Source organism: Homo sapiens, chromosome 17, assembly GCF_000001405.40.
Source record: "Homo sapiens chromosome 17, GRCh38.p14 Primary Assembly".
Classification (NCBI taxonomy): Eukaryota; Metazoa; Chordata; class Mammalia; order Primates; family Hominidae; genus Homo; species Homo sapiens.
The window spans coordinates 31,207,108-31,219,639 of NC_000017.11; the positions used below are offsets into that span (position 1 = coordinate 31,207,108).

Sequence of the window (12,532 nt, forward strand, 5' to 3'; positions counted from 1 at the left end):
CTTCTTATTTTCTATTATTGGCTGCTGTCGCTCACATGATCAGATGCCAACCAGTCACTGTTTTGCATGGCAGTGGGCTTCTGTGGCTGTAAGTATGACCCATTGTAACTACATCAGAAAAGTCCTTGGTTTCTTTGACTTTTCTGTGTATAGTTACCATTATAGTCACATCTTGTCATTTCAACTGAAAATATAGCATGTCTTCACCTGTTGGTTTTATCTAGTAAGTTAGTCATTTCACAGTTAGGAGATAATTTAAACAGCTTTCTCCCTGGCATGCTTCTCTTTTTCCAAGTCCCCTTAGTCAGTGAAATATTTTGGTTTTATACAGTTGTGGTTCACTCTTATCCAGTTGTCAGTAATTATTTCTGAGGATTGTTTATCTTAGATGTTCAAATAGAGAAGTTTTTTATGTCATATATTTTGGGATTATTGAGCCTAAAAAATATAGCCAAAAGATCATGGCAATGATGTTTCCTTAAGTAAACTTTAAAATGCAAGGTTACCTTTTAGTTGACTTTTTGTAATGCCAAGTACTTCACTTTTTTTTAAGTTGAAGAAATTTTCAGTACAGGTATAAGTTAATTGGAGGTAAGCATAAATAATAGCTGTTTAAATGTCATTTAATAAGATATTTTTAAAAAATCTTTTAAAACTACTTGAAATAAGTTGTTTAAAAGTTATTTATTGACCTGTTTATTCCAGAGATCTGGGAAATCAGAAGTTTATTTGACTTTTTTGCTTTAAGTTTACTACCTTTTCTGGTAGAAAGTTAATGACCTCCAATAATAGGACTTGTTGGGGGGTTAATATTCACTTCCTATTTAACTTCAATATCCACTTTACCAGCTGCCCATAATTTTCTGTGAATAAGGACTAAAAATGAAACTAAATGATTATTTTGAACAGAGGTAAAATTTGATTGGTAGTCTAAATATGTTCTCTACACTTAGAAGTTATTTTACTTCTTAGCCCTAGTTATAAGCTGATTCTCAGAGCTACATATTATTTTACCGAAAAGCCATAACTAGAGAGGATTTCCTCTTTTGGCTCAAGGACACCTGTAATAAGAATTTAGTTTTTATTTCTAATTATTTTCTGAAAATATCAATATACATTTAATTTTCAAAATCATTCCTAAGCTGTTTATGTTTTTGAAATGTTATATGTATGTATATTTGTACATAATGACTAAAGGACAGCTTTTGGGCTGATATTACCAGGAGAGAAAATAAATAGCAAATGTAATATGAAACAATTTTTAGAATAAGAAAATTTTAGGTTTTGAATGGCTGTTAGGGTAAAATCTCACCCTTCATAAACTTGGTGAGTTAACAGTCAGATAACCAGTATGGAAGTATTGACCTTCTACTCTTTGCCAGGCAAAGGTGCTAATGCCAGGGAAGCATGGTGAACTAAACATACACAGCACTTCCCCTCACCGAGATTCCAAGCAAAAGGTTTATAGCTTTTGCTTGAAAATGTCTAATGAAGAACTCAACACCGGACACGGTGGCTAACGTCTGTAATCCCAGCACTTTGGGAGGCCAAGGTGTGCGGATCACCTGAGGTCAGGAGGTCGAGACCAGCCTGGCCAACATGGTGATACCCTATATCTACTAAAAATACAAAAATTAGCCAGGCGTGGTGGTGCATCCCTGTAATTCCAGCTACTCAGGAGGCTGAGGCAGAAGAATCGCTTGAACCTGGGAGGCAGAGGTTGCAGTGAACTGAGATGGCGCCATTGCACCCCAGTGTGGACAACAAGAGCGAGAATCGGTCTCAAAAAAAAAATCAAACAAAAAAACTCACTACAGGTGGCATGGAGTCTGGCAACACAGGCAAATATATATAATAAATGGTTTACAGATAATACCTAACATCAGAGTTTCCTACTGTTGGCACTATTAACATTTTGGACTGGATAACTCTGTTATAGGGGGCTGTACTGCGCATTGTGGGATATTCAGCAGCATCTCTGGCCTCTACCCACTAGATGCCAATATTCCCTTTACCCCCCAGCCCTCCAAGTCATGAAAACCAAACATGTCTCCAAACATTTCCAGATGCCCCTTGGGGGACAAAATCACCCCCAGTTGAGAACTACTGTATTACAGAGTATGTTCAGTGGGTTGTCCCTCATTTGTATTGCCTCAAATGATTTGGGACTGATAAACCTGAGCCATTAGCTTGCTTCAGAAGTAGCAATCTAGGAGTTCTGTTGCAAAACAGTAAAAGTAAAATAATATCTGCTTCAAGGCTTTACTAACACTTTGTATTTTGGAGAGACAAGTTACTTGTTGGAAGGAGCTAATTATTTGAAAATTTTCTCTTCGACCAAGATAGAATCATGTCTCTGTCACTTACAGCCATCACTGATCCTCTTTCTGTTGGAGCTCTATAGAATACTTCTGATTCTTCCACAAGGTGGCCCTGCAGATATTTGAATAAGGTTATTCTGTACTCCTAGAATTCGTTTTATTTTTATATCGTTTTGGCATTGGAAGGGATTTTATTCTTTTAGCTCTCTCTCTTTTTTTTTCTTCTTGAGACAGAGTCCCACTCCGAGTCCCACTCTGTCACCCAGGCTGGAGTGAGTGCAGTGATGCAATCTTGGCTCACTCCAACCTCTACCTTCCAGGTTCAAGTGATCTCCTGCTTTAGCCTCCCGACTAGCTGGGGTTACAGGTGCCCACCATCATGCCAGCTAATTTTGTGTTTTTAGTAGACCATTTAGCACCATTTTGGGCAGGCTACTCTTGAACTGTGACCTCAGGTGATCCACCTGCCTCAGTCTCCCAAAATGCAGGGCTTATAGGCATGAGCCACTGTGCCTGGCCTCTTTTAGCTCTCTTTAAAACTGTATGTGTGTTTGTTGGGTCTGTTTTTATAGCTAAAGAAACTGAAGCTTAAATAAAGTTATATTAATAACAAATGCATGGTTAATGAACAGTCAACCAGAGTTAGTTCTGAGGTTTCTTGACATTCAGTTCAGTGTCTTTATCAGGTTCTTTAGTTGTCCTTCTTCACTAGCAAGTTAGCTTGATGAAAGCAGTAGCTTTGTCTGGCTTAATCAACACTGAATCCCTAACGTTTGAACAACATCTGATACATATTGGGCATTTAGTACATGTTTGCAGAATGAATGAAGGAATGAATTTCTTACTTGATGTGGTTTCAAAATCCTCGTACAGGCCGGGCACAGTGGCTCATGCCTATAATACCAGCACTTAGGGAGGCCGGGGCGGGCAGGTCACTTGAGACCAGGAGTTTGAGACCAACTGGGCCAACATGGTGAAACCTTGTCTCTACTAAAAATGCAAAAAAATTAGGCAGGCGTGGTGGCAGGCACTTGTAGTTATAGCTACTCAGGAGGCTGAGGCAGGAGAATTGCTTGAACCCGGGAGGCGGAGGTTGCAGTGAGCCAAGATTGTGTCACTGCACTGTCAGCCTGGGCAACGGAGCGAGACTCTGTCTCAAAGAAACAAAAACAAAAAACAAAAAACCCTCCTGTTTCTGATTTGCTTCTCTTCTGGAAAGACCAACCTGACAAAAATTTTTAAAATTAAAATGCCATATTAAGATCTGATGTTAGTGATACAGATATAATACTATGATGTAATAATTGATAAAAGCTATTAAACTGCTGTGTTTGTATACCCTGTTTCTATTAATACAATCTAAGATAGTATTATTATTTTATGTTGACTTTTTAGTTATTTAAACTCTTTGGCCCTTTTTATATGAATGTTGAGCCATAACTTCTCCTTTGTACCTTTGTAGTATTTTTTTAATATTTGAAATGTTTGTCTTAGCACTGATTTTACTATTTGCAAACTAACATCTCCTGCTTTCATAAAATTCAAAACTGCCAATAACAGATATATGAATTTTCACAAGTATTTGTTATTTCTCAACATTTTTTATCTTAAGTGGCATGCTGGCTCACCAGATCTTTCTTACATGCCTGTTATTCAGTCACATGGTCTAAATTAACAAGTGGTTTGGGCCTTTAATAGATATCTGAAGACTCTGGTTCATGAATTTCTTCCCAGACATGATTGCCTCTCATCTTTGGCCAGATCACATGTACCAGCTTCTATTCCTACTAATACCTGCAATATAGAAGATCAACTAATGAATGAATGAATTTTTTTCTTACATTTCTAATTAAGAAACACATTGCTTCTTTAGCATGTTTTTCCTCACTTTCTGTAACCCACTAAAATTAAAAGGTATTTGAGATGAATTAAATTTATTGGAATTTCTGAAGTCATACATTTCATATTAGGCAACCATGTTGGAACAGAATTTACATGTTGATATTTGGGATTAAGAGGTGACATAATTAAACTAATATAGTCATACATCACTTAATGACAGGGACATGTCTTGAGAAATGAGTGCATCCTTAGTGATTCAGTCATTGTGCAAACATCATAGAGTCTGCTTACATGAACCTAGATGGTTATATAGCCTGCTACATACCTAGGATATATGGTCTAGCCTACTGCTCCTAGGCTGCAAACCTAGACTAAACAGCATGTTACTGTACTGAATACCTTAGGCAGTTGTAGCACAATGGTAAGTATTTGTTTATTCAAACAGAAAAGGTGCAGTAACAATACAGTATAAAAGAAAAAAATGTATAGGACACTTAACACAAATGGAGTTTGCAGGACTGGAAGTTGCTGTGGGTGAGTCATTGAGTGAGTGTTGAGTGCATGTGAAGCCTAGGACATTACACTACTGTAGACTTAAAATTTTTTTAAATTTATTTTACTTTTAATACTTTTGCATTTTTCTCATACTCAGGATCTATACTGTAGACTTTATAAACACTACACTTAAGCTATATCAAATTTATAAAAAATATTTTTATATGATAACTTTACAGTAGCTTTTAAAATATAAACTTTTAAATTTTTTAATTTTTTGACTTGTAATAACACTTAGCTTAAAACACTTTGTATAGCTAGCTGTATAAAATATTTTTCTTTATATCCTGTAAGTTTTTTCTATTTGAAAATGTTCTATTTTAATTTTTATTTTGAAAACTGTTTTAAGATCTGGGACACAAACATACACGTTAGCCTAGGCCTACATGGGGTCAAGATCATCAATCAGTGTTACTGTCTTCCACCTCCACATCTGCTCCCATTGGAAGGTTTTTAGGGGAAATAACGTGTGGAGCTGTCATCTCTTGTGGTAACAATGCCTTCTTCTGGAATACCTACTGAAGGACCTTCTGAGGCTGTGTTTCATAGTTAACTTTTTATCTTTAAGTAGGAGTATAACAATACAAAGTATACTATAGTAGGCTGGGCCTGGTGGCTCACGCCTGTAGTCCCAGCACTTTGGGAGGCCAAGGCAAGTGGATCACCTGAGATCAGGAGTCGAGACCAGCCTGGCCAACATGGCAAAACCTCTTCTCTACTAAAAATAGAAAAAAATTAGCTGGGCGTGGTGGTGCATGCCTGTAGTCCCAGCTACTTGGGAGGCTGAGGCAGGAGAATTGCCTGAACCCGGGAGGCAGAGGTTGCAGTTAGCCGAGATCGCGCCACTGCACTCCAGCCTGGGCAACAAAGTGAGACTTGGTCTCAAAATATATATATTATAATAAATACATAAACCAGTAACAGTTATTTATTCTCATCAAGTATTGTATACTGTACATAATTGTATGTGCTATACTTTTTTTTTATATGACTAGAAGTGAAGATTTGTTTACACCAGCATCACTACAAACAATAACGCATTGTGCTTGGACATCACGATGGCTATGATACTAAGTGATAGGAATTTTTCAGCTATGTTACATATTGTCTATCATTGACTGAAATGTTGTTTTGTGGCATATGACTCTATTTACGTTTTTTGGAAATGATTCTTAAGGAAAAATTCTGATACCTGCTCATTGTTCTCTGATCTTGTGTTCCTGTGCAATGGCTGCATCAGGGAAGAGCCATTTGATAGTTACACTTAGTTACATCAAAGTAAATAAATTCGTTTAATCAAAGTTTCAGCTTGATCTGAGGTGAAACACCTCAACTTAGAGTGAGGAAAAAAATACAGTTGAAAGAGAGCAAACAGTAAAACCAGAATTTATTAAATCATTTAGTAAAACATTTGCTTTGGGGTCAGGGGGCAGTTATAAAAAGCAAACTATTTGGAAGTTTTGCTATTTCTCTTCTGTAGTGACATTCTTGAGTATAAATGTGTGCATTAAATAGCTATTCTTCCCCGCAAGGACTAAAACCCTTCGGTGTTCTTGGGTATAATAACAAATGCATATTTCACTTAAACATTGAGGATAGTTCATTTGTGTTGTAGATATGCATGTCTGCTTCTTAACTTTGAAAGACAGCCTGTTTACCTGGACATTTGTATTATGGGTCCACAGTTGGTACACAGTCTTGTTATTTCTGTATTATATATATGTTTACATAAAGACATTCATTCAGAATCAGATAGTTTTGTGTTCTTTTCAAGGAAAAAAGGAAGGAGATGTTTTATAATAATAGGTGATGTTAGCTCTGGAATATAATTGTTGGATTTTTGGTTGAAAAACATTTATAATTATTTTAATTCATCATATGTCTCTATAATTGAAACATATTTTCTGTAAGTTTACCTTTCTGAGTTCTTTCTGTTTTACAAATGTTCTTCAGGCAAAATGCATGCATTCTGTAACTTAAAAGAGGTGGAGTGCCGTCGAAGGAAAAAGCAAATTTTACAATTAAACTAGTAAATACAAAGATTGCCTACATGTTTCATTAATTCTAAGAAGCACTTATTTTTACTCTTCTCTAAAATTGGGAATGTATCTTATTTTAAATGGTGTCTTACAATTGACAGCAGTTTTTCATTCCTTTTGGGACATCAAATAATGATGCATCTTACAATTGATAATGTTGTAGAGTCTATGAAATACTTGTATGTATGTCTGGGGAATGTTTGTTAAATAAATTACCCAGTGTGTATATTTGTGAGAACTATAGGCCAAATCTTTTTTCCCTTATGTTTTTACATTTTAGAAAATAGTTTTTTACATAGATGTTTTACAACCTGATACTAAGCTTTTAGTATTGTAATAGATTTTCATTGTTTTATTAGATTGATAAAAAAAAATATAAATGGTGCAAAAACGATTTTCATTGTTTTGTTAAGCTTAATAATACTGACCTTATGCTTACTATTGAGTGTTTCTACTAATACCACACATTTGGTAGTATAAAAAATAGCTTTTTTCAAAGGTTTTTAATAATAAATTTCTTTTAAAAGGTTGGATAGCTATTATCCTGAGTCTTATGTCTGATACCATGTTTTTGTTTTGTTTTTAGAGTCTTACATTTAAAGAAAAAGTAACAAGCCTTAAATTTAAAGAAAAACCTACAGACCTGGAGACAAGAAGCTATAAGTATCTTCTCTTGTCCATGGTGAAACTAATTCATGCAGATCCAAAGCTCTTGCTTTGTGTAAGTATTTTTTTATGAAATGTCTCAAAATTATCACACTAAGTTAATTGGGTTTAGCTGAAACGCCAAGACCTTGAGGATAATTTTTAGCTCAAGAGCACTTACTGATCCTTTCTGATCATACCTGAAAACTAAGACGTCTCTAAGAAAACTAATGTATAATGAATACTAATATAATTAGATCAGATTCTTAATTGCCCTTATCATTTCCTAACATTTCTCTTTCTTCTTAATTTCCCTATCATTAAACTAACATACTTTGATGAGATCTCTGTTCTCATCCTATTACTAAGTTATATATTATTCAGGTATAATCCTGGTATGGGGGATAGAAGTGACCATCGATCACAGTGTCTACATCTATACTGTTGGTTTAAAAAATCTCCAGATTGCTTTTGCCAGTTTAGCTTTTCTATCCCCCTTTCTTTGTGTTATCAGCTTTCTGTTATCATTGGCTCTGCCTACAAATACTGTATTGGAAAAAGAATGAGGTGAAAATGGGTGTGGTTAGTACTTGAGTTAGTGTGATTATCATTATTATTATTATTTTGAGACAGGGTCTTGCTCTGCTTCCCAAGCTAGAGAGCAGTGGAGCAGTGATGGCTCACTGCCTTCGAACTCCTGACCTCAAGCCATCCTCCAGCCTCGGCCTCCCCAAGTGCTGTGATTACAGGCATGAGCCCCCATGCCTGGCTAGTAGTCAGTTATTGTCATAACTACTCTTACTGCCTCAGATGATATTAAATTTCTGAGAACATCACTCTGGTACACAGAGTAATTAGGAACAACGCAAATAATAAAAATGAGTCATAATGAAGTGATTAACAGCATGGACGCTGGAGACTACCTACTAGCTATGTGATTTGGATGACTATTTAATCTTTCTATGCCTTAGTTTTCTCATCTGATATATTGGGATCATAATAGTTCCTATCTCAGAGATACTGTTAGGAAAATTGAAATAGTACATACAATGCTTTAGGAACAATGCCTGGTGCATAATAAGCACTAAATAAATGTTAGCTATTATTGCTATTAATAAGATACAATTTAACACTAATTAATGCACCAAATGTAATAGTTCTATATTGTGTCTTTCATAGGATGACATGTTTAACCTTTGTTGAGCTTCTTCAGTCCCTGGAGAGCAGCATCAAGCAAGGTTTCTTATCGTTTTGCTCAGTAACTGGCTTTTTAAAAAGTGTTAAGGTGCTTTCGATTTTGGTGGCATATTTTTTAAATTACTGTAATACAGGGAGTTTGTAACTACATGCCTATGATTCCAAGAGTTCTATGAAACTTCGTGAATTTTTTAAAAATGTGTATTTATGAGTAATTTTTCTTGGAGAGTGGAGAGGAGAGAAGAAGGAACATTCCCAAAGGATCAGTGACCCCAAAAGAAGGCCTGTGATACTTTAAGCCTGAAAAACCCATTCAAGTTTGAAAGTCTAATTAGAATAAACAGATCTTTGGCATGAAAAAATTCCATAAAACCTGTCAGTGAAACTCTATAAAAAAATGAAGTTCCCTTTCTCTTCATTCCTTTGTTATGTGTTACAAGCTATTTGTGGCATTATTTCATCATGAAGGTCACATAATACTAGCAGTACTCTGTTTACGTGGTGATAATTCACATTCAAAGCAGGCACCAAACTCACCAATGCCGTTTCTACTAAATGTTGCTTCAAGAAGAATTTAAGCAAAACTTGCCATTTTCCAAGGATCATTTAAAATGGAAATTATTTGCTTTGCTGCCATCTAGTGGTTAATAAGTTTTCTCAAGGTAACCATAAGTACATTAAAATAGAAGATTCGTTGTAAATATTTGACCATTTTGTCTTTTACATAAAAAATCTGAGTCTTAGTAATTTAGGAGGAATGTAGGAATAATTATTAAATGGTCTCAATCATGGTATTTTTAAAGTAATATGATTTTGTCTTCCATTTTAGTACTCTCAATTTCTCAAGCCTCCTAATTACTCAGCTTGCATCGTTTCTTAGATCCCCCTGATCATTTCTCCACACTGAAGTTATGGCAGTCTCTTTAAAAAGCAAATCTTATTATGCCCCCTCTCAGCTTGAACCCTTTTAGTTGAAATTGCTCTTGCTTATGAAGACCAAACTCCAAATAGATCTACAGGGTCGTGCAAAATCTTTCTCCCATCTACCATTTCTTCCACATGTAGCATTACATTTTTTGTCTTCCTTTACTCTATTCATGATGGTCTTCCTTTCAGTCTTTCTAACCACATGCCTTCATACCTCCCTTGCAGTTGCTTTTCCCTCTGCCTAGAATCTGCTTACTCTTAACATAGTAATTCCTACTCATTCTAAGCTATTGTCACTGCACTAAGGAAGCCTCCCTGAGTCGGACACTTTTCCATGTTATAGGCTGTCATAGCAGCATGTACCTTAATAATAGCTCTTATGTGATTTGCATTTTTATACTTGTTGATCTGATTATTTCATTGATGATATCTTCCCCCATGAGACTACATGCTCATGGAGGATGGGAAACACATCTTCTCTTTTTCATTGTTGTGTCTTTGGCATTCAATAAAAATGATTTGGTTTTGGATGAATTTATATGAATGTCAGAAAATAAGCTAACGGTTTTGAATTACAGATATATTGCAGTGAGGGCTTACCTTAGTCATTATAATGGGGAAAAATCTATAGTTAGCAAAATAAAATATGGGACACAAGTTGCATTGGCTTCATATATTCTTCTTTTTTTTTTTTCTGAGACAGAGTCTCACTATATTGCCCAGGCTAGAGTGCAGTGGTGTGATCTCAGCTCTCTGCAACCTCCGCCTCCTGGGTTGAAGTGATTCTCCTGCCTCAGCCTCCCAGGTAGCTGAGATTACAAGCACCCGCCACCAAACCGGCTTGTACTTTTAGGAGAGATGGGGTTTCTTCATGTTGGCCAGGCTAGTCTCGAACTCCTGACCTCAAGCACTCCGCCTGCCTTGGCCTCCCAAAGTGCTGGGATTACAGGCATGAGCCACCATGCCTGGCCAAACCATATATTCTTGAAGTGCAAATATATGCTTCCAAGTTAAGAGAAACATTTTAGTCTCTAAATAGGTAGGCATTCGGCAGGGCGTGGTCGCTCACATCTGTAATCCCAGCATGTTGGGAAGCCGAGGCAGGTGGATCACCTGAGGTCAGGAGTTCGAGACCAGCCTGGCCAACATGGTGAAACCCCATCTCTAATAATAATGCAAAAATTAGCTAGACGTGGTGGCGCATGCCTGTAATCCCAGCTACTCGGGAGGCTGAGGCAGGAGAATCGGTTGAACCCAGGAGGCAGAGGTTGCAGTGAGCCGAGATCACGCCATTGCACTCCGTTTCAAAAAAAAAAAAAAAAAAGGTAGGCATTCACATTTTTACATAACGTTAATTTTCTTTGCTTAGTACACTATATTTTTCCACGATGAAAAGGACCGAAGTATGGGTATCTGCCGATGCAAATTCTAGCCTTTGCTTTGTTACCAGCTGTGTGGATTTGGGCAGGACCTTTGTATGGGTCAAGAGGGCTGTACAGGATAATCATGCAATCCTTATCCAACATGTATGTCCTTTACCTTTGATCACAATCATGTATAAGCTCAAAACCAGTAAGTTCCAAACCAGAGATACGTTCTTTAGCCAGTTTACTATTGTTGGAAAAAAAATTATTCCTCATATTGTTGATGTAATTTTTAATGGGAATTCGTGGTTTTTGTTTTCATTAGGATTTTCCCTGGACATTATTCACATTAATGAACAAGTATAGATGTGGATTAAAAGAATCCCTAACAAAAGAAGTTTTGATTTAATAAAATTTTTATTTTATTGAGATAAAAATACTATACCCACATACCATAAAATTCACCATCTTAAAGTTTACAATTCAGTTGTTTTCAGTATATTTACAAGGTTCTGCAACCATTACCACTATGTAATTCTAGAACTTTTTTTTCTTTCTTTCTTTTTTTTCTTTTTTCTTTTTTTCTTTTTTCCAGATGGAGTCTCGCTCTGCCACCCAGGCTGGAGTGCAGCGGTGCAATCTTGGCTCACTGCAACCACCGCCTCCCAGCTTCAAGCGATTCTCCTGCCTCAGCCTCCCAAGTGGCTGGGACCACAGGCGCATGCCACCACGCCTGGCTAATTTTTATATTTTTAGTAGAGATAGAATTTCACCATATTGGTCAGGCTGGTCTCAAACTCCTGACTTCAGGTGATCCACCCGCCACTACCTCCCAAAGTCCTGGGCTTACAGGCGTGAACCACCGCGTCCAGCCTAGTTCTAGAACATTGTTATCACCCCTAAAAGAAACTTGGTACCCTTTAGCAGTCACTGTCTATTTCTTCCTCCTTCTAATCTCTCTCGATTTATTTATTTTTTTAATTGAAGTTTCCTTTTTTTCCTTGCAGAATCCAAGAAAACAGGGGCCCGAAACCCAAGGCAGTACAGCAGAATTAATTACAGGGCTCGTCCAACTGGTCCCTCAGTCACACATGCCAGAGATTGCTCAGGAAGCAATGGAGGTAAGGGGAAAATGAATTCCATGTTCTTGAAGGAAAGATTGTAACTATGTACATTCATGATGTTCCTTTGGTGTGTGGTTTCTGTGAGTAACAGGTAGATGTCATTTCTGGAAATGGTATGTTTATGTCTATACATTGTTTTATAAAACTCCATGGAGAAAGAAGGGGTTTACTTGCTTTGTATCACATAGCAATAACATTGTACAAATTCTGATGCTTAATAAAATAGTTCGAGATTTTCTAATTGCAGTTGACTTTAAAATTTTTAAAAATATTATTATTAAATATTAAAAATACTAATTTTTAAATTGAGACATAATTCACATACCCTCAATTTGGCCATTTTAAGTAGTTCTTTTTTTTAAATTTTATTATTATTGTACTTTTAAGTTTTAGGTTACATGCGCACAATGTGCAGGTTTGTTACATATGTATACATGTGCCATGTTGGTGTGCTGCACCCATTAACTTGTCATTTAGCATTAGGTATATCTCCTAATGGTATCCCTCCCCCCTCCCCC

At 36.5% G+C, this 12,532-nt stretch overlaps 1 protein-coding gene across 3 annotated transcripts in view; it reads left to right on the forward strand.

Annotated features, from left to right (window-relative positions):
* The window catches only part of NF1 (neurofibromin 1), a 282,699-nt gene that overhangs the window by 112,131 nt on the left and 158,036 nt on the right, over positions 1-12,532 (forward strand). For all 3 annotated transcript variants that reach the window (NM_001042492.3, NM_000267.4, NM_001128147.3), the window contains exons 13-14: positions 7,344-7,478; positions 11,898-12,011. In NM_001042492.3, coding sequence (NP_001035957.1) covers positions 7,344-7,478; positions 11,898-12,011 — 249 coding nt within the window. The remainder of the gene's footprint in view (positions 1-7,343; positions 7,479-11,897; positions 12,012-12,532) is intronic.